Genomic DNA, 26,704 nt, shown 5'->3' with positions numbered 1-26,704 from the left:
AGGTCCCCTCAGGGATGTTCATAAGCCAGCAAAACCTATGGTGGGGTTAGCTGGACTGTTGGCCTCATCCCCTGCTGTGAGTCAACCTCCACTGAGAAAACCCAAAAGCAAGCAGAACAATCATGGCTTGACACTGTGGATGGCTACAGAAGCTGCTAGCAGTTTCCTCTGCAGGACCCACGGCCCCTGCCCAAGAGAGCCAAGCTGTGTGCTGATACAAAGGGAACCTGAGAGGCAGGCAGTCCTTATGGGGACTCTCCAACCTTAACTGAATCTGTGGGAAGCTACGGTGCACACTCACATGTCAGCACGGGGGGCGGCCTCCGGGCCTGCAGGGGGATCAGAAGTGTGTGGGCTGACTGGGTCTCCACTAAAATAAAATCATCAAAATCCCCAAGGCAGTCGGGAAAAAACTGGACAATGTACTGGCAGGTCATTCCAGGAGCCACCATTCCACCTTTTCCTGGGAACATCCCTGTGCATGACAAAAGTGACAAGTGAGGATCCTGGGAGCAGCCAGCCACCAGGGCTTGAGCTCAGCTGGTACAGACCCCAGCCCTGCCAGGGCTGGCTCTGTAAGTGCCTTCTGGGCCAAAGCCACGCTGATGGCAGGAAAAGGGCATGCGAGGGGAGCAGGCTGCAAGGGTGGCGACTCCAGGTAAGCATGCCAGAGCCTGGGGGGAAATGACACCATCCATCCAGAAAGGTCAGGTGGGGCCATGCCTGGCCCTATGGCTTAGAATTTCTTTGGTGGATAGCAGAGAAACTTTTGAGATTTCTGAACGGGGTGACATGATCAGAGTTGTTCTTAAGACAAATACTGTGACACTAAAGTAGGAAGGCTGGCTGGGGGGCTGCTGCTGAGGCTTAAGTGAGGAATAGAGAGGGCCTGATTGAGGAGAATGGCAGCACGAGGAGTGGGGAGATAGCAGGACCAGTGCCTGGGTGGAGGCGGTCAGGAGAAAGGAGCTGTCAAGGCTCTGAGGACACATTGCTGGTGGAGCATGAGGAGCCCTCAAGGACTGCTGATGGGGGGAGTCCAGGCCCAGGCTGTAGACTCAGGGCGGGAGTCAGCAACTGGCAGCAAGCCCAGCAAGTGACTTTGAGGCAATCCTCAAAGTAGTAGCAGTACTGCTACTGCTACTGCTACTACTACTACTACCACCCCCCCACTACTACTACTACCACTACTACTACCACTACTACTACCACCACCACTACTACTACTACCACTACTACTACTACCACTACTACTACCACCACTACTACCACCACCACCACTACTATTACTACTACCACCACCACCACCACCACTACTACTACTACCACTACTACTACCACCACCACTACTACTACTACCACTACTACCACCATCACTACTACTACTACCACCACCACTACTACTATCATTGCTACCATTACTACCACCACTACTACTATTACTACTAATACCACCACTACTATTACCACTACTACTAATGAACTTACAAATACTGAACTTACCCAGTCCCAGAGCGAAGTATGGCGTGGAAGGCGGGAGGACTCGCAGGTAGCGGCTGGTCGTGGTGGTGTTCTGCAGCGCAATTACCATCTGTTGAAAGGTAAGATGATCTCTTTTAGACAGCAACACTTATAGACGAAATGATACGATGTCCAGGATTTACTCTAATATGAGAAGGGGGTAGAGGTAGAAATGAAATAGGCTTGGCCACATGTTGGTAACTGTCGAAGCTGGCTGAGGGGTACATGGGGATTCATTATGCCATCCTATGTACTTTTGTTTGTTTTGGGAAGTTTCCATAGTAAAAAATAAAATACAGGCCAGGTGTGGTGGCTCACGCCTGTAATCCCGGCACTTTGGGAGGCTGGGGCAGGCGGATCACTTGAGGTCAGAAGTTTGAGACCTGCCTGGACAACATGAAGAGACTCTCTCTACCAAAAAAAAAAACAAAAAAATTAGTTTAAAATTTTAAAAACAAATAAATAAAATACAAGGTAAAAATGAAGGCAGGAATAGATCTGTCAGAACTCTGAGCCTAAGCTAAGCCATTGCATCCCCTGTGACTTGCAGGTATATGCCCAGATGGCCTGAAGTAACTGAAGAATCACAAAAGAAGTGAAAATGCCCTGCCCCACCTTAACTGATGACATTCCACCACAAAAGAAGTGTAAATGGCTGGTCCTTGCCTTAACTGATGACATTCCACCACAAAAGAAGTGTAAATGGCTGGTCCTTGCCTTAACTGATGACATTCCACCACAAAAGAAGTGAAAATGGCCCATCCTTGCCTTAAGTGATGATGTGACCTTATGAAAGTCCTTTTCCTGGCCAATCCTGGCTCAAAAAGCTCCCCCACTGAGTACTTTGCAACCCCCACTCCTGCCTGCCAGAGAACAAACCCCCTTTGACTGTAATTTTCCTTTACCCACCCAAATCTTATAAAACAGCCCCACCCCATCTCCCTTCGCTGACTCTCTTTTCAGACTCAGCCCACTTGTACCCAGGTGAAATAAACAGCTTTATTGCTCACACAAAGCCTGTTTGGTGGTCTCTTCACACGGACGCACATGAAACCACCTACGACCTCAGGTCCTCAGACCGATGAGCCCAAGAAACATCTCACCAATTTCAAATCCGGTAAGCGGCCTCTTTTTACTCTCTTCTCCAACCTCCCTCACTATCCCTCAACCTCTTTCTCCTTTCAATCTTGGTGCCACCCTTCAATCTCTCCCTTCTCTTAATTTCAATTCCTTTCATTTTCTGGTAGAGACAAAGGAGACACGTTTTATTTGTGGACCCAAAACTCCGGCGCCGGTCACGGACTGGGAAGGCAGCCTTCCCGTAGTGTTTAATCATTGCAGGGACACCTCTCTGATCATTCACCCACGTTTCAAAGGTGTCAGACCACGCAGGGAGGCCTGCCTTGGTCCTTCACCCTTAGCGGCAAGTCCCGCTTTTCTGGGGGAGGGGCAAGTACCCCAACCCCTTCTCTCCATGTCTCTACCCCTTCTCTGCTTTTCTGGGGGAGGGGCAAGTACCCCAACCCCTTCTGAGTCTCTACCCCTTCTCTGCTTTTCTGGGGGAGGGGCAAGTACCCCTCAACCCCTTCTCCTTCACCCTTAGCGGCAAGTCCCGCTTTTCTAGGGGGCAAGAACCCCCAATCCCTTATTTCCACACCCCAACCTCTTATCTCTGTGCCCCAATCCCTTATTTCCGTGCCCTGACCCCTTTCCCACTTTTCTGGAGGGTTAAGAACACCCGAACCGGGACGGGCCCCGCGGGGCCCGAGGGCAAGGAGCAGCCGCCTGCCTTGGCCTCCCAAAGTGCCGAGATTGCAGCCTCTGCCCGGCCGCCACCCCGTCTGGGAAGTGAGGAGTGTCTCTGCCTGGCCGCCCATCGTCTGGGATGTGAGGAGCCCCTCTGCCTGGCTGCCCAGTCTGGAAAGTGAGGAGCGTCTCCGCCCGGCCGCCATCCCATCTAGGAAGTGAGGAGAGCCTCTTCCCAGCCGCCATCACATCTAGGAAGTGAGGAGCGTCTCTGCCCGGCCGCCCATCGTCTGAGATGTGGGGAGCGCCTCTGCCCCGCCGCCCCATCTGGGATGTGAGGAGCGCCTCTGCCTGGCCGAGACCCCGTCTGGGAGGTGAGGAGGGTCTCTGCCCGGCCGCCCCGTCTGAGAAGTGAGGAGACCCTCTGCCTGGCAACCACCCCGTCTGAGAAGTGAGGAGCCCCTCCGCCCGGCAGCTGCCCCGTCTGAGAAGTGAGGAGCCTCTCCGCCCGGCAGCCACCCCATCTGGGAAGTGAGGAGCATCTCCGCCCGGCAGCCACCCCGTCCGGGAGGGAGGTGGGGGGGGGTCAGCCCCCCGCCCGGCCAGCCGCCCCATCCGGGAGGGAGGTGGGGGGGTCAGCCCCCCGCCTGGCCAGCCGTGCCGTCCGGGAGGGAGGTGGGGGGGTCAGCCCCCCGCCCGGCCAGCCGCCCCGTCCGGGAGGTGAGGGGCGCCTCTGCCCGGCCGCCCCTACTGGGAAGTGAGGAGCCCCTCAGCCCGGCCAGCCACCCCGTCCGGGAGGGAGATGGGGGGGTCAGCCCCCCCACCCGGCCAGCCGCCCCGTCCGGGAGGGAGGTGGGGGGGTCAGCCCTCCGCCCGGCCAGCCGCCCCGTCCGGGAGGTGAGGGGCTCAGCCCCCTGCCCGGCCAGCCGCCCCATCCGGGAGGTGAGGGGCGCCTCTGCCCGGCCGCCCCTACTGGGAAGTGAGGAGCCCCTCTGCCCGGCCAGCCGCCCCGTCCGGGAGGGAGGTTGGGGGGTCAGCCCCCCGCCCGGCCAGCCGCCCCGTCCGGGAGGTGAGGGGCGCCTCTGCCCGGCCGCCCCTACTGGGAAGTGAGGAGCCCCTCTGCCCGGCCACCACCCCGTCTGGGAGGTGTGCCCAACAGCTCATTGAGAACGGGCCAGGATGACAATGGCTGCTTTGTGGAATAGAAAGGCGGGAAAGGTGGGGAAAAGATTGAGAAATCGGATGGTTGCCGTGTCTGTGTAGAAAGAAGTAGACATGGGAGACTTTTCATTTTGTTCTGCACTAAGAAAAATTCCTCTGCCTTGGGATCCTGTTGATCTGTGACCTTGCCCCCAACCCTGTGCTCTCTGAAACATGTGCTGTGTCCACTCAGGGTTAAATGGATTAAGGGCGGTGCAAGATGTGCTTTGTTAAACAGACGCTTGAAGGCAGCATGCTCGTTAAGAGTCATCACCAATCCCTAATCTCAAGTAATCAGGGACACAAACACTGCGGAAGGCCGCAGGGTCCTCTGCCTAGGAAAACCAGAGACCTTTGTTCACTTGTTTATCTGCTGACCTTCCCTCCACTATTGTCCCATGACCCTGCCAAATCCCCCTCTGTGAGAAACACCCAAGAATTATCAATAAAAAATAAATTAAAAAAAAAAAAAAAAAAAAGAACACCCGAACCCCTTCCCTCCGTGTCTCTACGCTCTCTTCTCTCTGTGTTTGCCTCCTTCACTATGGGCAACCTTCCACCCTCCATTCCTCCTTCTCCTCCCTTAGCCTGTGTTCTCAAGAACTTAAAAGCTCTTCAACTCACACCTGACCTAAAACCTAAATGCCTTGTTTTCTTCTGCAACACCGCTTGGCCCCAATACAAACTCGACAGTAGTTCCAAATAGCTGGAAAACGGCACTTTCAATTTTTCCATCCTACAAGATCTAAATAATTGTCATAAAATAGGCAAACGGTCTGAGGTGCCTGATGTCCAGGCATTCTTTTACACATCAGTCCCTTCCTAGTCTCTGTGCCCAATGCAACTCGTCCCAAATCTTCCTTCTTTCCCTCCCGCCTGTCCCCTCAGTCCCAACCCCAAGCATCATTGAGTCTTTCTAATCTTCCTTTTCTACAGACCCATCTGACCTCTCCCCTCCTCACCAGGCCAAGCTAGGTCCCAATTCTTCTTCAGCCTCTGCTCCTCCACCCTATAATCCTTTTATCACCTCCCCTCCTCACACCTGGTCCGGCTTACAGTTTCGTTCCGTGACTAGCCCTCCCCCACCTGCCCAGCAATTTACTCTTAAAAAGGTGGCTGGAGCTAAAGGCATAGTCAAGGTTAATGCTCCTTTTTCTTTATCCCAAATCAGACAGCATTTAGGCTTTTTCATCAAATATAAAAACCCAGCCCAGTTCATGGCTCCTTCAGCAGCAACCCTGAGACGCTTTACAGCCCTAGACCCTAAAAGGTCAAAGGGCTATCTTATTCTCAATATACATTTTATTACCCAATCCGCTCCTGACATTAAATACAACTCCAAAAATTAAATTCCAGCCCTCAAACCCCACAACAGGACTTAATTAGCCTCACCTTCAAGGTGTACAATAATAGAAAAAAGTTGCAATTCCTTGCCTCCACTGTGAGACAAACCCCAGCCACATCTCCAGCACACGAGAACTTCCAAACGCCTGAACCGCAGCAGCCAGGCATTCCTCCAGAACCTCCTCCCCCAGGAGCTTGCTACGAGTGCCAGAAATCTGACCACCAGGCCAAGGAATGCCTGCAACCCGGGATTTCTCCTAAGCCACGTCCCATCTGTGTGGGACCCCACTGGAAATCGGACTGTCCAACTCACCTGGCAGCCACTCCCAGAGCCCCTGGAACTCTGGCCCAAGGCTCTCTGACTGACTCCTTCCCAGGTCTTCTTGGCTTAGTGCCTGAAGACTGATGCTGCCCGATCGCCTCCAAAGCCCCCTAGACCATCACGGACACCGAGCTTTGGGTAACTCTCACAGTGGAAGGTAAGTCTGTCCCCTTCTTAATCAATACGGAGGCTACCCACTCCACATTACCTTATTTTCAAGGGCCTGTTTCCCTTGCCTCCATAACTGTTGTGGGTATTGACAGCCAGGCTTCTAAACCTCTTAAAACTCCCCAACTCTGGTGCTAACTTAGACAATACTCTTTTAAGCACTCCTTTTAGTTATCCCCACCTGCCCAGTTCCCTTATTAGGCCGAGACACTTTAACTAAATTATCTGCTTCCCTGACTATTCCTGGATTACAGCTACATCTCATTGCTGCCCTTCTTCCCAATCCAAAGCCTCCTTTGGGCCCTCCTCTTGTATTCCCCCACCTTAACCCACAAGTATAAGATACCTCTACTCCCTCCTTGGCGACCGATCATGCACCCCTTACCATCTCATTAAAACCTAATCACCCTTACCCCGCTCAATGCCAATATCCCATCCCACAGCATGTTTTGAAAGGATTAAAGCCTGTTATCACTCGCCTGCTACAGCATGGCCTTTTAAAGCCTATAAACTCTCCTTACAATTCCTCCATTTTACCTGTCCTAAAACCAGACAAGCCTTACAAGTTAGTTCAGGATCTATGCCTTATCAACCAAATTGTTTTGCCTATCCACCCCATGGTGTCAAACCCATATACTCTCCTGTCCTCAATACCTCCCTCTACTACCCATTATTCTGTTCTGGATCTCAAACATGCTTTCTTTACTATTCCTTTGCACCCTTCATCCCAGCCTCTCTTTGCTTTCACTTAGACTGACCCTGACACCCATTAGGCTCAGCAAATTACCTGGGCTGTACTGCCGCAAGACTTCACAGATAGACCCCATTACTTCAGTCAAGCCCAAATTTCGTCCTCATCTGTTACCTATCTCGGCATAATTCTCATAAAAACACACGTGCTCTCCCTGCTGATTGTGCCCAATTAATCTCCCAAACCTCAATCTGTTACAAAACAACAACTCCTTTCCTTCCTAGGCATGGTTAGTGCAGTCGGATTTCTTACACAAGAGCCAGGACCGCACCCTGTAGCCTTTCTGTCCAAACAACTTGACCTTACTGTTTTAGCCTAGCCCTCATGTCTGCGTGCAGCGGCTGCTGCTGCTTTAATACTTTTAGAAGCCCTAAAAATCACAAATTATGCTCAACTCACTCTCTACATTTCTCATAACTTCCAAAATCTATTTTCTTCCTCATACCTGACGCATATACTTTCTGCTCCCCGGCTCCTTCAGCTGTACTCACTCTTTGTTAAGTCCCACAGTTACCATTGTTCCTGGCCCGGACCTCAATCTGGCCTCTCACATTATTCCTGATAACACACCTGACCCCCATGACTGTATCTCTCTGATCCACCTGACATTCACCCCATTTCCCCATATTTCCTTCTTTCCTGTCCCTCACCCTGATCATGCTTGATTTATTGATGGCAGTTCCACCAGGCCTAATCGCCACACACCAGCAAAGGCAGGCTATGCTATAGTACAAGCCACTAGCCCGCCTCTTAGAACCTCTCATTTCCTTTCCATTGTGGAAATCTATCCTCGAGGAAATAACTTCTCAGTGTTCCATCTGCTATTCTACTACTCCTCAGGGATTATTCAGGCCCCCTCCCTTCCCTACACATCAAGCTTGAAGATTTGCCCCCACCCAGGACTGGCAAATTAGCTTTACTCAACATGCCCTGAGTCAGATAACTAAAATACCTCTTAGTCTAAGTAGACACTTTCACTAGATAAGTAGAGGCCTTTCCTACAGGGTCTGAGAAGGCCATCCCAGTAATTTCTTCCCTTCTGTCAGACATAATTCCTCAGTTTAGCCTTCCCACCTCTATACAATCTGATAACAGACCAGCCTTTATTTGTCAAATCAGCCAAGCAGTTTTTCAGGAAACCTTTATATCCCTTACGGTCCTCTGTCTTCAAGAAAAGTAGAACAGACTAAAGGTCTTTTAAAAACAAACCTCACCAAGCTCAGCCACCAACTTAAAAAGGACTGGACAATACTTTCACCACTTTCCCTTCTCAGAAATCAGACCTGTCCTCGGAATGCTACAAGGTACAGCCCATTTGAGCTCCTTTTTATTAGGTCCCAGTCTCATTCCAGACACTGGACCAACTTAGACTGTGCCCCAAAAACACTTGTCATCCCTACTATTTTCTGTCTAGTCATACTCCTATTCTCCATTCTCAACTACTCATACATGCCCTGCTCTTGTTTACACTGCCGGTTTACACTGTTTCTCCAAGCCATCACAGCTGATATCTCCTCGTGCTATCCCCAAACTGCCATTCTTAACTCTTGAAGTAAATAAATAATCTTTGCTGGCAGGACTATGCTGAATCTCCTTAGGCACTCTCTAATCAGATGTCCTAGGTCCTCCCAGTTCTTAGACCTTTTATATCTGTTTTTCTCCTTCTCTTATTCCATTTAGTTTTTCAATTCATACAAAACTGTATCCAGGCCATCACCAATAATTCTACACAACAAATGTTTCTTCTAACAACCCCACAATATCACCCCTTACCACAGAATCTTCCTTCAGCTTAATCTCTCCCACTCTAGGTTCCCACGCTGCCCCTAATCCTGATCAAAGCAGCCCTGAGAAACATCGCCCATTATCGCTCCATACCATCCCCCAAAATTTTTGCTGTCCCAACACTTTACCACTATTTTGTTTTATTTTTCTTATTAATATAAGAAGGCAGGAATGTCAGGCCTCTGAGCCCAAGCCAAGACATTGCATCCCCTGTGACTTGCATGTATATGCCCAGATGGCCTGAAGTAACTGAAGAATCACAAAAGAAGTGAATATGCCCTGCCCCACCTTAACTGATGACATTCCACCACAAAAGAAGTGTAAATGGCCGGTCCTTGCCTTGAGTGATGACATTACCTTGTGAAAGTCCTTTTCCTGGCTCATCCTGGCTCAAAAAGCTCCCCCACTGAGTACTTTGCGACCCCCACTCCTGCCTGCCAGAGAACAAACCCCCTTTGACTGTAATTTTCCTTTACCCACCCAAATCTTATAAAACAGCCCCACCCCATCTCCCTTCACTGACTCTCTTTTCAGACTCAGCCCACTTGTACCCAGGTGAAATAAACAGCTTTATTGCTCACACAAAGCCTGTTTGGTGGTCTCTTCACACGGACGCACATGAAACCACCTACGACCTCAGGTCCTCAGACCGATGAGCCCAAGAAACATCTCACCAATTTCAAATCTGGTAAGCGGCCTCTTTTTACTCTCTTCTCCAACCTCCCTCACTATCCCTCAACCTCTTTCTCCTTTCAATCTTGGCGCCACCCTTCAATCTCTCCCTTCTCTTAATTTCAATTCCTTTCATTTTCTGGTAGAGACAAAGGAGACATGTTTTATCCGTGGACCCAAAACTCCGGTGCCGGTCACAGACTAGGAAGGCAGCCTTCCCTTGATGTTTAATCATTGCAGGGATGCCTCTCTGATTATTCACCCACGTTTCAGAGGTGTCAGACCACACAAGGACACCTGCCTTGGTCTTTCACCCTTAGTGGCAAGTCCCGCTTTTCTAGGGGAGGGGCAAGTACCCCAACCCCTTCTCTCTGAGTCTCTACCCCTTCTCTGCTTTTCTAGGGGAGAGGCAAGAACCCCTCAACCCCTTCTCCTTCACCCTTAGTGGCAAGTCCCGCTTTTCTAGGGGGCAAGAACCCCCAATCCCTTATTTCCATGCCCCAACCTCTTATCCCTGTGCCCCAATCCCTTATTTCTGTGCCCCGACCTCTTATCTCTGCACCCCGATCCCTTATTTCCATGCCCTGACCTCTTATCTCTGTGCCCCAACCCCTTATTTCCACGCCCCGACCCCTTTCCCACTTTTCTGGAGGGTAAGAACCCCCGAACCCCTTCCCTCCGTGTCTCTACTCTCTCTTTTCTCTGGGCTTGCCTCCTTCACTATGGGCAACCTTCCACCCTCCATTCCTCCTTCTTCTCCCTTAGCCTGTGTTCTCAAGAACTTAAAACCTCTTCAACTCACATCTGACCTAAAACCTAAATGCCTTATTTTCTTCTGCAACACTGCTTGGCCCCAATACAAACTTGACAATGGCTCTAAATGGCCAGAAAATGGCACTTTCAATTTCTCCATCCTACAAGACCTAAATAATTTTTGTCAAAAAATAGGCAAATGGTCTGAGGTGCCTTACGTCCAGGCACTTTTCACACTTTGTTCCCTCCCTAGTCTCTGTTCCCAATGCGATTCCTCCCAAATCCTCCTTCTTTCCTTCCCGCCTGCCCCCTCAGTCCCAACCCCAAGCGTCGTTGAATCTTTCCAGTCTTCCTTCTACAGGCCCATCTGACCTTTCCCCTCCTCCTCAGGCTGCTCATGGCCAGGTTGAGCTAAGTCCCAATTCTTCCTCAGCCTCCGCTCTTCCATCCTATAATCCTTCTACCACCTCCCCTCCTCACACCCGGTCCGGCTTACAGTTTAGTTCTGCGACTAGCTTTTCCCCACCCGCCCAACAATTTCCTCTTAGAGAGGTGGCTGGAGCTAAAGGCATAGTCAGGGTACATGTACCTTTTTCTCTATCAGACCTCTCTCAAATCAGTCAGCGTTTAGGCTCTTTCTCATCAGACCCCACTAAATATATACAGGAATTCTGATATCTAACTCTGTCCTACAATTTAACCTGGAGTGACTTAAATGTCATCCTGACTTCTACCCTCTCCCCAGATGAACAGGAAAGAGTTTTTTCTCTAGCCCAATCTCATGCTGATAACCGCCGGCTTCATGAACCTGACCTCCAGGAAGGCATTAGAGCAGTTCCCCAAGAGGATCCCCAATGGAACTACCAGACAAATTCCCCAGGTATAGCTAGGCAAGATTACATGATTTCCTGCCTAGTTGAAAGGCTTAAAAAGGCAGCTTACAAAGCTGTTAATTCTGACAAGCTTAAAGAAACTACCCAAGGTAAAGACGAAAACCCAGCCCAGTTCATGGCCCGCTTAAGCAGCAACCCTTAGACGCTTTACCGCCCTAGACCCAGAGGGGCCAGAAGGCCGCCTTATTCTCAATATGCATTTTATCACCCAATCCACTCCTGACATTAGGAAAAAACTTCAAAAATTAGAATCTGGCCCTCAAACCCCACAAACAGGAATTAATCAACCTCACCTTCAAGGTGTACAATAATAGAGAGGAAGCAGCCAGATGGCAACGCATTTCTGAGTTACAATTACTTGCCTCTGCTGTGAGACAAAACTCAGCCACACCTCCAGCATACAAGAACTTCAAAATGCCTAAGCTGCAGCAGTCAAGCATTCCTACAAGACTTCCTCCATCAGGATCCTGCTTCAAGTGCCAGAAATCTGGCCACTAGGCCAAGGAATGCCTGCAGCCCAGGATTCCTTCCAAGCCATGTCCCATCTGTGTAAGGACCCACTGGAAGGCAGACTGCCCAGCTCGCCCAGCAGCCACTCCTAGAGCCCCTAAAGCTCTAGCCCAAGGCTCTCTGACCGACTCCTTCCCAGATCTGCTCAGCTTAGCGACTGAAGATTGATGCTGCCCGATCACCTCAGAATCCCCCTAGACCATCACAGATGCTGAGCTTCAGGTAACTCTCACAGTGGAGAGTAAGTCCATCCCCTGTTTAATCGACACAGGGGCTACCCACTCCATGTTGCCTTCTTTTCAAAGGCCTGTTTCCCTAGCCCCAATAACTGTTGTAGGTACTGACGGCCAAGCTTCAAAACCCCTGAAAACTCCCCCACTCTGGTGCCAACTTGGGCAACACTCTTTTATGCACTCTTTTTCAGTTATCCCCACCTGCCCAGTTCCCTTATTAGGCCGAGATATTTTAACCAAATTATCTGCTTCCCTGACTACTATAGCCGCATCTCATTGCCGCTCTTCTCCCCAACCCAAAGCCTCCTTTGTGTCTTCCTCTCGTATCCCCCCACCTTAACCCACAAGTATAAGACATCTCTACTCCTTCCCTGGCAACTGATCACATGCCTATTACCATCCCATTAAAACCTAATCACCCTTACCCCACTCAATGCCAATATCCCATCCCACAGCACACTTTAAAAGGATTAAAGCCTGTTATCACTCGCCTGCTACAGCATGGGCTTCTAAAACCTAAAAACTCTCCTTACAATTCCCCCACTTTACCTGTCCAAAAACCAGACAAGTCTTACAGATTAGTTCAGGATCTGCACCTTATCAACCAAATTGTTTTGCCATCCATCCTGTGGTGCCCAACCCATACACTCTTTTGTCCTCAATACCTTCCTCCACAACTCAGTGTTCTGTTCTCGATCTTAAAGATGCTTTTTTCACTATTCCCCTGCACTCCTCATCCCAGCCTCTCTTTGCTTTCACCTGGACTGACCCTGTCACCCATCAGTCCCAGCAGCTTACCTGGGCTGTGCTGCCGCAAGGTTTCAGGGACAGCCCTCATTACTTCAGCCAAGCTCTTTCTCGTGATTTACTTTCTTTCCACCCCTCCGCTTCTCACCTTATTCAATATATTGATGACCTTCTTCTTTGTAGCCCCTCCTTTGAATCTTCTCAACAAGACACACTTCTGCTCCTTCAACATTTATTCTCCAAAGGATATCAGGTATCTCCCTCCAAAACTCAAATGTCTTCTCCATCCATTACCTACCTCGGCATAATTCTTCATAAAAACACACGTGCTCTCCCTGCCAATCGTGCCCGACTAATCTCTCAAACCCCAACCCCTTCTACAAAACAACAACTCCTTTCCTTCCTAGGCATGGTTAGATATTTTCGCCTTTAGATACCTGGTTTTGCCATCCTAACAAAACCATTATATAAACTCACAAAAGGAAACCTAGTTGACCCCATAGATCCTAAATCCTTTCCCCACTCCTCTTTCTGTTCCTTGAAGACAGCTTTAGAGACTGCCCCCACTCTAGCTCTCCCTGACTCATCCCAACTCTTTTCATTACACACAGCCGAAGTGCAGGGCTGTGCAGTCAGAATTCTTACACAAGGACCAGGATCGCGTCCTGTAGCCTTTTTGTCCAAACAACTTGACCTTACTGTTTTAGGCTGGCCATCATGTCTCCGTGCAGTGGCTGCTGCCGCCCTAATACTTTTAGAGGCCCTCAAAATCACAAACTATGCTCAACTCACTCTCTACAGCTCTCATAATTTCCAAAATCTATTTTCTTCCTCACACCTGACGCATATACTTTCTGCTCCCCGGCTCCTTCAGCTACACTCACTCTTCGTTGAATCTCCCACAGTTACCATTGTTCCTGGCCTGGACTTCAATCTGGCCTCCCACATTATTCCAGATACCACACCTGACCCTCATGACTGCATCTCTCTGATCCACCTGATGTTCACCCCATTTCCCCACATTTCCTTCTTCCTTGTTTCTCACCCTAATCACACTTGGTTTATTGATGGCAGTTCCACCAGGCCTAATTGCCACTCACCAGCAAAGGCAGGCTATGCTATAGTATCTTCCACATCTATCATTGAGGCTACCACTCTGCCCCCCTCCACTACCTCTCAGCAAGCCAGACTAGTTGCCTTAACTCAAGCCCTCACTCTTGGAAAAGGACTATGCGTCAATATCTACACTGATTCTAAATATGCCTTTCATATTCTGCACCACCATGTGGTCATATAGGCTGAAAGAGGCTCCCTCACTACACAAGGGTCCTCCATCATTAATGCCTCTTTAATAAAAACTCTACTCAAGGCCCCTTTACTTCCAAAGGAGGCTAAGGTCATTCACTGCAAGAGGCATCAAAAGGCGTCAGATCCCATTGCTCTAAGCAACGCTTATGCTGATAAGGTGGCTAGACAAGCAGCTAGCTCTCCAACTTCTGTCCCTCAGGGCCAGTTTTTCTCCTTCACATCGGTCACTCCCACCTACTTCCCCGCTGAAATTTCCACCTATCAATCTCTTCCCACACAAGGCAAATAGTTCTTAGACCAAGGAAAATACCTCCTTCCAGCCTCACAGGCCCATTCTATTCTGTCGTCATTTCATAACCTCTTCCATGTAGGTTACAAGCCGCTAGCCCGTCTCTTAGAACCTCTCATTTCCTTTCCATCATGGAAATCTATCCTCAAGGAGATCACTTCTAAACCAAGCAAGTAATTGCGCTGAACCCCCTTAGGCACTCTCTAATTAAATATCCTAGGTCCTCCCAATTCTTAGTCCTTTAATACCCATTTTTCTCCTTCTTTTATTCAGACCTTGTATCTTCCGTTTAGTTTCTCAATTCATCCAAAACCATATCCAGGCCATCACCAATCATTCTATACAACAAATGTTTCTTCTAACAACCCCACGATATCACCACTTACCACAAGATCTCCCTTCAGCTTTCTCTCTCCCACTCTAGGTTCCCACGCTGCCCCAATCCCGCTTGAAGCAGCCCTAAGAAACATCGCCCATTCTCTCTCTCCATACCATCCCCCAAAAATTTTCGCCACCCCAACACTTCAACACTATTTTGTTTCATTTTTCTTATTAATATAAGAAGGCAGGAATGTCAGGCCTCTGAGCCCAAGGCAAGCCATCGCATCTCCTGTGACTTGCACCTATATGCCCAGATGGCCTGAAGTAACTAAAGAATCACAAAAGAAGTGAAAATGCCCTGCCCCGCCTTAACTGATGACATTCCACCACAAAAGAAGTGAAAATGGCCGGTCCTTGCCTTAAGTGATGACATTACCTTGTGAAAGTCCTTTTCCTGGCTCAAAAAGCTCCCCCACTGAGCACCTTGCGACTCCCACTCCTGCCCGCCAGAGAACAAACCCCCTTTGACTGCAATTTTCCTTTACCCACCCAAATCTTATAAAATGGACCCACCCCATCTCTTTTCACTGACTCTCTTTGTGGACGCAGCTCGCCTGCACCCAGGTGATTAAAAGCTTTTATTGCTCACACAAAGCTTGTTTAGCAGTCTCTTCACACGGACGTGCATGAAACTGACCTATTGTTTAAAATAACAATTACTATTTATGAGCATCTGCTCTGTACCTCCTCAACCTCGCAACAACCAGGAAAGGTGGGAACTGTTTCTATCTCACAGCTGAAGAAACTGGAGTTCAAAGAGGCACCAGTTAGGTTTGAGCCTAGGATATCTGGTTTCAAAGTTTTGCTCACCTCACCTCTTACTTACTGTCTTCCTCAACACGTATCTCTGAACCATTCTTCCCATGGACACAAAGAGTGTTATGGCACCTCTATGTCAGGATGTAATTGGGCCTCTTACGCAACCCACTCACCCCCTTTAAGCCCCACTTTCTTTTCTGCCACCCCAGATTGGGAGACCCCCAAGGGCAAGGTCTAGACCTAATCCTCCAACTGCACCCAGCACAGTGTGTAGCACATCAATACAGGTACACATCTTTTGTTAATATTTTGTGAAATGTTACACTAGAAAACAATGTATAAATTATAACATGACAGAAGCCATGTTTCCATCACCCAGCTTAAGAAATAAAACATTACAGATAAAGTTGAAATCCTCTACCAGCCCCCCACCAGATAAAAATTGACATAAATATGAAGTATGTCTTCCTATTTTTATTTATAGATTTGTATTCCTAAATCAGCATTTACATCAATTTTTGGCCAACACTACATATTACACCAATCCATCTGTGAAACAGCTGGTGGGAACTAGGGTGTGAGCACCATGGGATGGTATTGTCACAATTACCAAGGCTTTCACTAGTGGTCAACTGAAATGAGGTGCAGGTGGAAGGCCAGGGAGTGAAACATGGTAGCTGTGGTGGCTGCAAGGTTTGGGATAGTGATCATTATAAGGACTGTGGCATGGACTGGCTTTCCTTAACAGCACTGGAAGCTTTGGAGGAAAAAAATAATAGGCTCAGCAGAGCCAACTGCCAACTCAAGGCCTGCTGTGAAGACATTCCCTGCGTTCCTGGGTTTCAAAGAATTGGCTGCGTGTGTGTGTGTGTGTGTTGTTCCTTACTGTTTGGTTTGGTTTGCTGTTTTTTACCTAGTATTTCTGCACCTATGTTCTTAAGACTGGTATATATTTTTATTTGGTGTCAAGGTAATTAGGCTTATTACCTAATAATGATGGTACATTCCCTCTTTTTCTAGTCTCTGAAATAGTTTCATAAAATAGGGAATAGCTCGAATGTTTCATAATCTGTGCCTGCAAAATGATCTGGGCCTGGTGTTTCTTTTTGTGGAAAGTTTTGGGTTTTTTTAAATTGTTTTCTTCTAAGTTGGACAGCCACATGGTTTAAAGAGTCAGAGTTCGACAAGGTTTTGAAAATAGAATACTGCCCTCTTCCCCTGGCCCCATCCTGCCATTTCCCACTCCCCAAAGATAAACACTTTTTCATCCTTTAGCTGATTATTTTGGTATTTATTTCCATGTCTCCAAATAGTATACTACTTTTGTTCAGTTTTAGGTATTAATTATAGATGGAGGATATGGATATTCCCTCTTCCCTCTCCCATATCTGACTCACCATATGACACGCCCTTCCTATCCCCCATGTTTCCAATATAGTTATATCATACTACTGGTTAGATTAGTAATTCATGTTATATTCAAGTTACTAAGTAATTGCTATTCACAGCTGAGCATGAGGTGATTCCTTTCCCTGCCTTGTACAATTTTTGGTTTTCCTGGAGTGAATAATCAACTAATTATTTTGTTTGCTTTGTGCTTATCAATAATTCAATCCTTCTCCACCACCCTACAAATCTCTCCCCCATATGTCCAGGTGTATCAGGGACTCTTCTCAATGTCATCTCCATAAATCAACCTCTCCTAGAGCTTTCTGGCCTCTTCTAATCTGGGCTAGTTGCCCACTACACCTACTGCTATCATATAGGATAACTCCTAGAGCAGTTTTAAGACACATCCATAAGTTCTTTGACACTGTTCTCATTAGAGATGAAGTCTAGGCTGGACACTGGCTCACGCCTGTAATCCTAGCACTTTAGGAAGCCGAGGCGGGTGGGTTGCTTGAGCTCAGGAGTTTGAAACCAGCCTGGGCAACATAGCAAAAACCCGTCTATACAAAAAATACAAAAATTAGCCAGGTGTGGTGGCCTGCACCTGTAGCCCCAGCTTCTTGGGAAGCTGAGTTGGGAGGAGTTGCTTGAGCCCAGGAGGCAGAGGTTGCAGTGAGCCAAGATCATGCCACTGCACTCCAGCCTGGGCGACAGAGCCAGACCTTATTTCAAAAAAAAAGGTTTTAAAAAAAAAGAAATGAAGTCTACATATCTTCCCTTGAATCTGGATGAACCTTAGTGACTTGTTTGTAATCTACGGCATGCAGAGGATGTAGTGCTGTGCAACTTACAAGATTAGGTCATAAAATGTGATGCAATCTCCTTCTTGCTTGCTAGGATACTCACTTAGAAGTGCAGATACTTGGCCAGGTACAATGGCTCACGCCTGTAATCCCAGGACTTTGGGAGGCCAAGGCGAGTGAATCATCTGAGGTCAGGAGTTCGAGACCAGCATGGCCAACATGGCAAAACCCTCTCTCTACCAAAAATATAAAAAATTAGCCAGGCGTGGTGGTGCGTACCTGTAATCCCAGTTACACAGGAGGCTGAAGTGGGAGAATTGCTTGAACCCAAGAGGCAGAGGTTGCAGTGAGCCAAGATCCTGCAACTGCACTCCAGCTTGGGTAATAGAGCAAGATTCCATCTCAAAAAAAAAAAAAAAAAAGTGCAGATACTCACTTGCATTGTCATGTAAAAGTCTGATTAACCTGAGATTGCCATACTGTAAGGAAGCACAGCCCACATAGAGAAGCTATGTGGTGTAGACATTCTGGTAGACAGCCTCAGCTCTCTATCTACAACAGCATCAACAGCATCAACCCCAACTTTTATGTCACCCCTAAGCACTGACTCTTTCCAGCAATGGCCTCAGACATTGTGGAACAAGTCATTCCCATTGTGCTCTCTCTGAATTTTTCACCCAAAGAATTTGTAAGCATGATAAAATGATTGTTTTAAGTTGCTGAGCTTTGGGAAATTTTGCTTTGCAGCAATATTAACTGCAAAATCTCTTAAGAGTTATTAACCTGGAGATTTCCTTCACCTCTCCCCTATGTTGGATCTCTTGGTACCACATTCCATGCCTTCCTCTTCATTGGTTTCCTCATTTCTATTAAAGAAGCATGTTCCCTGGGAGGTTTCAGAGAAAGGGTACATGGGACATAAATTTTTAAAGACTGAAAATTTGAACTGTTTTTATCCTTACACTTTATAGTTTAGCCGGGTAAACAACTGTTATGAACATCAAAGGGATGAGAATTAGACAAGTAGGCAAAGATCAGAGGAAAGACTGTTCCATAGCAGTCTATGTCTACCTCATCTACAGCCTCAGGATCTCCAGGCTCTGAGCACAGGCTTCCACAGCAGGCATCTGAAAGCCCTGAAGAAGAATATCTTCCATAAGTCCATCAGCAGCTCTCCCTTTTCCCTATTCTATTCCCTAACTGACATGATTTTAGCTCCTTTCCTCTGGGTGTTTGCCAGCTTCTACAACTGTCCTTAAAACGTGATGGCCAGACACAGAAGTCCCAGACACAGAAGTACAAAAGACAACACATTACTGTTAAGTCCAGGGAGTAAGCAAAATGCTTCCTCTAATGTTCAGCATATAGAGCTACCATATTGGTCTGCTTTTTGCCATGAGTGGTTGAGACATTCCTCAAGAATTATGGATAGGCAAGTGCTCTTTAAACTATAAAATGCAATCCATGTGCATGTGAAGGGATTGCTATCATTAGGCCTAGTTGTCTTTGTACCTGGTGAGCAGAGTTGGTGACTGCTAAGCTTGGTCTTGACCTGATTCCCCAAGAAGGTGGGAAGCTTCTAAAAGAAAGAAGCTGGGAAAAAGGAATGAGGAAAGCCTCTGCTCTTGCAGGAATTACTGGATATACTGTTAAGATGTAGAGGACAGTAAGAAGGAAAGGGGGTTCAACTATATATACATATTTGCTTATGGTTCAAAAAGAAACAATGGAAGAATGCAAACTAATAGAAATAGTTACCTATAGATATCAGGAGAGTACAAGAAAGAGGAGGAGGCAGGAATCAAAGTTAGAGGGAAAGTTTTATTCTGTTTTTTAAATGGAAAATCAAGCTAATAAATGTAGATGGAATAATAGAATTAGAAATTACCATTTTGTAAGCCCTGATTGAAGAAAAAATGGATCTGGACAATAGTCATCTGGCAGTCATCTAGGCTGTTAACTATTAAGTGAAAGTTTGATAAGAACTTTATAGAGAATGAATCAGAATTTCAACACCTGATGCCATTCATAACTGATCATGGGAAACCCAGATCCCATGCTTCCTCCTGATGGATTGCAATAAGAAATACACAGTACCACCAAGGAAGTATTCTTGTCAAAAAAGAGGAAAAATGGAACTTGAATCTCATCAAATCTCTATATCTAATGACCAGTTTGTGGAAAATATGGAAGATAAAAGAACACGTTTAATGTCACCACAATAACGCAATTAGCCAAATCCAGGGTGTACGAAATTGCAGTTTCTTCAACAAATAAATGGCATTTTTAAAAAGCAGGAGGTGGGAGAGGAATTATTATCAACTAAAGGAGAATTAAGAGATACTTTAATCAAATGCAATGTTTAGATTCTGATGCAAAGAAACCAAATATAAATGGACTTTTTTTTAAAACAAATGAAGATCAGACATAGATGGGTATTAGTTGATATTAAGGAATCATTATTAATATGGCTGGGTGTGACAGTGGTACTATGGTTACTTTTTAAAACCCTTATCTGTTAGAGATACTAATTGATGTATTAACTGAAGAATGACATGATATCATATTTTCCTTCTATGACTCCAGCACATACATGTGCATATAGATGTGTACATGAAGAGGTTGTAGGAGTAATAGACAAAACCAGATTGGCAAAATGTAGATAACTGTTGAAGCTGCATATTGGGCACATGAGGAGTAGTTATAGTCTTTTCCCTAGTTTTGTGTACAGTTAAAAATTTCCGCCCTCTCCCTCTCCCTTTCCCTCTGCACGGTCTTCCTCTCCTCCCTCTCCCTCTCCCTCTCCCTCTGCACAGTCTCCCTCTCCTCCCTCTCCCTCTCCCTCTGCACGGTCTCCCTCTGATGCCGAGCGGAGGCTGGACTGTACTGCCGCCATCTCGACTCACTACAACCTCCCTGCCTGATTCTCCTGCCTCAGCCTGCCGAGTGCCTGCGATTGCAGGCGTGCGCCGCCACGCATGACTGGTTTTCGTGTTTTTTGGTGGAGACGGGGTTTCGCTGTGCTGGCCGGGCTGGTCTCCAGCTCCTGACCACGAGTGATCTGCCAGCCTCAGCCTCCCGAGGTGCCGGGATTGCAGACGGAGTCTCGCTCACTCAGTGCTCAATGTTGCCCAGGCTGGAGTGCAGTGGCATGATCTCGGCTCGCTACAACCTCCACCTCCCAGCCGCCTGCCTTGGCCTCCCAAAGTGCTGAGTTTGCAGCCTCTGCCCGGCCGCCACCCCATCTAGGAAGTGAGGAGCGTCTCTGCCTGGCCGCCCATCGTCTGGGATGTGAGGAGCCCCTCTGCCCGGCCGCCCAGTCTGGGAAGTGAGGAGCGCCTCTTCCTGGCCGTCATCCCATCTAGGAAGTGAGGAGCGTCTCTGCCCGGCCGCCCATCGTCTGGGATGTGGGGAGCGCCTCTGCCCCGCCGCCCCGTCTGAGATGTGAGGAGCGCCTCTGCCCGGCCGCGACCCCGTCTGGGAACTGAGGAGTGTCTCTGCCCCGCAGCCACCCCGTCCGGGAGGTGGGGGGCAGCCCCCGCCCGGCTAGCCGCCCTTCCCGGGAGGTGGTGGGGGAGCCTCTGCCCGGCCGCCCCGTCCGGGAAGTGAGGAGCCCCTCTGCCCGGCCGCCACCCCGTCTGGGAGGTGTACCCAATAGCTCATGGAGAACGGGCCATGATGCCGATGGCGGTTTTGTCAAATAGAAAAGGGGGAAATGTGGGGAAAAGAAAGAGAGATCAGATTTTTACTGTGTCTGTATAGAAAGAAGTAGACATAGGAGACTCCATTTTGTTCTGTACTAAGAAAAATTCTTCTGCCTTGGGATGGTGTTAATCTATAACCTTACCCCCAACCCCGTGCTCTCTGAAACATGTGCTCTGTCCACTCAGGGTTAAATGAATTAAGGGCGGTGCAAGATGTGCTTTGTTAAACAGATGCTTGAAGGCAGCATGCTCGTTAAGAGTCATCACCACTCCCTAATCTCAAGTACCCAGGGACACAAACACTGCGGAAGGCGGCAGGGCCCTCTGCCTAGGAAAACCAGAGACCTTTGTTCACATGTTTATCTGCTGACCTTCCCTTCACTATTGTCCTAGACCCTGCCAAATCCCCCTCTCCGAGAAACACCCAAGAATGATCAATAAATACTAAAAAAAAAAAAAAAAAGAAAAAAAAAAGAAAATTTCCATAATAAAGACTTTTTAAAAATAAGAAAGCAGATGGGGTGGGAGCTGTAAAGAAACAAGATGTCTACCTCATAAACTGGACCAATTTCATAATCTGTGAAAAACCCAATTGGTGGCTTAGCTAGAAACACTGGAGTATCAGCACAACTGTGGGATGAAAAAAGAGGGGGAGAAAGGCTGTTAGTTTCATCCATACAATGAAATAGTAGGCAGTGACTGATTAATGTAAAAATAAATACATAAAGACCATCAAAGATATTCACAATATACCATTTGTTGGGGGGTTTTTGGATCTTATTGTTAATGCAGGTTATAAAATAATTTTACAGTATGATCCAATCTTTGTGAAGACATAAGTAGCTACATATTTCATTTTCAATATGCATAGGAAAAACTCTACATGTTTAAACACCAATAAGTAAGTGGGTTTTTAATATAGGTATCTCAAATATTAGTCTTTTCTAATCTTTCTTTCTTTTCTTTCTCTTTTCTCCTCCTCTCTTCTCTTCTCTTCTATTTTCTTTTTGACAGGGTCTCACTCTGTCACCTAGGCTGGAGTGCAGTGGCACAATCTTGGCTCACTGCAGCCTCGACACCCCTGTGCTCAGGTGATCCTTCCACTTCCGCCTCCCAAGTGGCTGGGATCACAGGTGCATGCCACCATACCCAGCTAGTTTTTGTATCTAATTTTTCTTAATAAAAAATATTAGTTGTCTAATAAAGAAATGTTAATAGTTTTAGGCTTACTAAAATTATGAACCCATGAAGCAACTCATTACTTTCATAAGGACAGTTACTGATATATAGGCAAAGGCACTCTTAAAGAAAAATCACAGTTTACACTAATTATTTATAATCAATCAAATTTCAAATGCTGTTATTACTCAAGACCTATGTCTCTAACGGGATTGCTTCCATTTGACCCAGATTGCTCCAATGTAAATAAAGGGCCAACACCAACCCCTATTTCTCAAGACCCCTGGCAGGTCAGAAAAGCATAAACCCAGGACTCTGGGGAAGGTTCAAAGGCCACACCAGTGGGTGACCCTGCAGCCCTGCTCTGTTCTGATACTGCTACCCTGCCCCACAAGTCTAGGGACCTCTACAGCCAGACCAAACGGAGGACCATCTAGGTTAACTCTCATGGGCCAGGTTTTCTGAGAGTTCAAGCCAGAGAAAGACATACCTCTGTTCTGGCTCTGTACTCTGGAATTCTCCTATCGGTGCTGGCTTCTTTGGAGGAAAAACAAGAGACTTGCCTCCATATCGAGTGTTAGGAGGAAAAAAACGGGGATTTTTTAGGAAGTGGTTCCGACTCTCCATTCTGGCAAGCAGAAGTCTGTCTAGCTCTCTCTGTGGCACACGTAAGTGGTTCATCCAGTTTTTATTCCTTGGTTGACTTGCTTTCTTTGAAACATACAAAAGCATAGAGTCAATGACAGGCAAAGGGATTGTGCTTGTTGACATCTTGACCAACTGCATGACCCATAGATGGCCAACACAAGCTCTACTCTATTTTGCGATGGATTCATCACAGCTTCTCATGTCATCTGAATGCCTTCCCCTTCACTGCCTCTCTGTCCCCCCAAACACTGCTCTGCACAGCCTTCCAAACTGACCTTGAGAGGTTCTCTGGTCCTTTCTTTGGCCTTAGGAGTTAAATTCCATGTCAGGCTGTCCACAGTGTGGTCTAACTCATCTTCGAACTCAGCAAGCTTCTTCCTGCATGAATCTTCAAGCTTCTTGTTCAGCTCTTTCTTCTGGACGGAACGCTTCTCACAGCTAAATGTCAGTTTTGAACATCCAGGTAGGGAGATGCCTACAGCATCAAGGAAACAAACTGAATCACTGCAACAAGGTGAGGAGGTGGGCATTCCTAAGATGACCAAATAAAACCACCAAAGCCACAGTTAGCTTGATCTTTCTCCTAAACTTTCATATTTACCACACCAGCTATAATTGCTCTTCAACATATGAATTACTCCTGGAACTTATTCTATGTATTCAAAATGGCCATGTGTGGTGGCTCACACCTATCATCCCAGCACTTTGGGAGGCCAAGGTGGGAGCATCACTTAAGCCCAGGAGTTGACACCAGCCTTGGCAACATAGTGAGAGTGAGACCCTATCTCTACAAAAAATAAATTTAAAAATTTGCTGGGTGTGGTAGTGCATGCCTGTGGTCCCAGATGCTCAGGAGGCTGAGTGGGGAGAATTACTTCAGCACAGGAGGTCAAGGTTGTAGTGAGTTATGGTTGTGCTTCTGCACTCCAGCCTGGGCAACAAAGCAAGACCCGGTCTCAAAAACAAACAAACAAACAACAACAAAATTTAGGACTAGAGTGTTAAAATATTTTCCAACATGGTCAAAGAACATGAGTAGACCACTGTCACACACACATGCCTGTACACATACCCCATACATGAGCATGCTTTCTGAAGAGCTCACAGAAGGAATGAAAGTTTGTATGAGCTTTTTACACTGTTAAGATCATCCCCCACCCCCTGGCCAAGCGCAGTGGCTCATGCCTGTAATCCTGGCAATTTGGGAGGCTGAGGCCGGCGGATCACTTGAGGTCAGGAGTTGGAAACCAGCCTGGCCAACATGGTGAAACCCTGTCTCTACTAAAAATACAAAAAAATTATCCAGGCATGATGGCAGGCGCCTTTAATCCCAGCTACTCAGGAGGCTGAGGCTGAAGCAGGAGAAACGCTTGAACCCAGGAGGCAGAGGTTGCAGTAGATCACACCACTGTACTCTGGCCTGGGTGACAAAGCGAGACTCTGTCTCAAGAAAAAACAAACAAACAAACAAACAAACAAGAAAACCATCCCTCCAAAGGTTAAATGAGAACATTCATTGCTAGCAAGAATGCAATCAAATGGATACCATCACAAATCTCTTAGCACAATGCCTGGTTAACTCTCAATACATGTTAGCCCCATTCTTATTGACCTGCATAAGATACTGAGTTTCCAACTAACTTTAAAATACTAAGTGGTGGCCGGGTGCGGTGGCTCATGCCTGTAATCCCAGCACTTTGGGAGGCTGAGGTGGGTGGATCACCTGAGGTCAGGAGTTTGAGACCAACATGGAGAAACCCCCTCTCTACTAAAAATACAAAATTAGCCAGGTGTGGTGGCACACGCCTGTAATCCCAGCTACTTGGGAGGCTGAGGAAGGAGAATTGCTTGAACCTGGGAGATGGAGGTTGTGGTGAGCCAAGATCGTGCCATTGCACTCTAGCCTGGACAACAAAAGTGAAACTCTGCCTCAAAAAAAAAAAAATACTAAGTGGCTTAGTACTCCATGACACTTGATTCTGCTACCTCTTTCTTGCCTTACTTCCCTACGTAGCTCAGACCATCAGTGGAACTCTCCCCAGGAGCACCCTCAATTTTCTAGATCCCAATCCTCCCACCCCAAACACCTTCTCAGCTCCCAAGCCCCAGAGAATCAAACAGTCCCTCAACTGGAGCTATGGGAGAGCTTGTCTTCTGAGCCCAGCATGCTAGGCAATCCCGATAACTGGCCACAGAATCCACACAGGGACTTCTCCCTGTCCACGTGTGGACTCTTCCATAAGTCTAACTCGCTGCTTAAGCCCACATCACAGCCTCCCACCCCACTCATTCTCAGAATATCTTGCCTCCCATATCACAGGAAACTGGCCCAATGTCACATACATGTACACACCCTCTCTGCCTCTCTACCCAGGCTTCCCTCCATTCTGAAAGGATGAGAAGCTGCTCTTTTCCTGCATGGGAAAACCCATAAGTCCCTGCTCCAACTCATCAGGTACACGCTCCCTTGCTTTTCTATGTCTTCAGTTTTTCCTTCTCTTGGTTCAACTGCAACTCCAAGCACTTACATAATTCTTGGTATTGGGCAGCAGATGTGGGCATCATAGTCCACATGGAGAAGCCTGGACTTCAGTCATACAGGCGGGGGAGCACTAGCAAGAAATTGGCATGCTCAGATGCTCAGATTTGACTTTCCCAACAGTCACCATCGAAATTAAAGAAAAGGTGAAAAAAACCTCTGAGCAAGGAAATGGCAGCAGAGGTGGCCAACGTGGCCCTACTGAACTTCCCCCAAATGGTATCAGAGGCCTTGAGAGCACAGAAGCATTACCTTTAGGTGCAGAGTGAAACGGCACTGTATCGGTGTAGTAATCTTCTGGGGAGATCAAATGATGTTTCCGTAGCAACTCGCTGTCTATACACCATCTGGAGACACTCTTCACTTCATAGAAGGGAAGGGGAGAACAAGGTGTTTCCAGCCAGACTGACTTTGAAGAACCCACACCCAAACTTTCTTCATCCGCCAAGCCTAAACTATCTAACAAAATTCCTTCTCAGAAACCTGTGGGAATGTTGAGATTTAAGAAACTCATCAAGTATCTATCAGCCACTTAAAAGAGGCCAACCATTGGGCAAAGCTGTGTTGTATTATTTGAGCTAAAATACTGTTACAGAGAAGTCTATAAGAAAACAGAATTATGAGAAATATGGTAGATTGAATAAAAGGTCCCAGTTCTTCACTTCTGTCTATATCCAGGCCCTTGACTATGTGACTTTGCAGTGCCTGCTACTAGAGACAGTGCACTTCTTCACTCCTGACTGTGGCCATGTGACGTGCTTTGGCCAATGAGATGTTAGCAAAGGTTTGAAATGCACTTGTGCAGCTGAGCCTTCCCTCTTGTGGCTTTGCCATTATTGTGACAAGAGCTTCCCTGTCCCTTCATCTTAGACCCCAGGGGGAATCCAGAGCAGACCTGAGCCTGACCTACGAAGGAGACATGCCTAGCTGGACCCACAGCTTGGAGCCAGTCCAGCCAGCCAAGCCCAGCCAGCTCGGCCAATTCCCCACTGACCTGCAGATACAGGAGAGAGAAAATCTCAAGAGAGGAAAGGTGATAATTAACGTCTATGGGTGATGA

General features: G+C 47.4%; 1 protein-coding gene across 11 annotated transcripts in view, besides 1 other annotated feature; it reads right to left on the bottom strand.

Annotated features, from left to right (window-relative positions):
- DLEC1 (DLEC1 cilia and flagella associated protein) overlaps positions 1-26,704 on the bottom strand; it is an 84,818-nt gene that overhangs the window by 38,277 nt on the left and 19,837 nt on the right. For 10 of the 11 annotated variants that reach the window (XR_940527.3, NM_001321153.2, NM_007335.4 and 7 more), the window contains exons 3-8: positions 25,897-26,007; positions 23,381-23,580; positions 22,948-23,168; positions 21,830-21,908; positions 1,504-1,591; positions 302-475 (exon numbers count right to left, since the gene is read on the bottom strand). Coding sequence is in view for 10 of the 11 variants with exons in the window: in NM_001321153.2 (NP_001308082.1) it covers positions 302-475; positions 1,504-1,591; positions 21,830-21,908; positions 22,948-23,168; positions 23,381-23,580; positions 25,897-26,007 (873 nt within the window). In the remaining variant the exon portion in view is untranslated. The remainder of the gene's footprint in view (positions 1-301; positions 476-1,503; positions 1,592-21,829; positions 21,909-22,947; positions 23,169-23,380; positions 23,581-25,896; positions 26,008-26,704) is intronic. The other variant, XM_011534318.3, reaches the window with a different exon arrangement.
- Positions 1,945-2,509: an enhancer, noted in NCBI's record as "OCT4-NANOG hESC enhancer chr3:38124731-38125295 (GRCh37/hg19 assembly coordinates)". NCBI's record gives its function as "activates a minimal SCP1, AML or CMV promoter by ChIP-STARR-seq in naive H9 embryonic stem cells {active_cell/tissue: H9 hESC(naive)}" and the evidence as "EXISTENCE:reporter gene assay evidence [ECO:0000049][PMID:30033119]".

Source organism: Homo sapiens, chromosome 3, assembly GCF_000001405.40.
Source record: "Homo sapiens chromosome 3, GRCh38.p14 Primary Assembly".
NCBI classification, from domain to species: domain Eukaryota; kingdom Metazoa; phylum Chordata; class Mammalia; order Primates; family Hominidae; genus Homo; species Homo sapiens.
The sequence above is the reverse complement of the archived record's forward strand: the minus strand, read 5'-3'. Positions and strand labels throughout refer to the sequence as shown.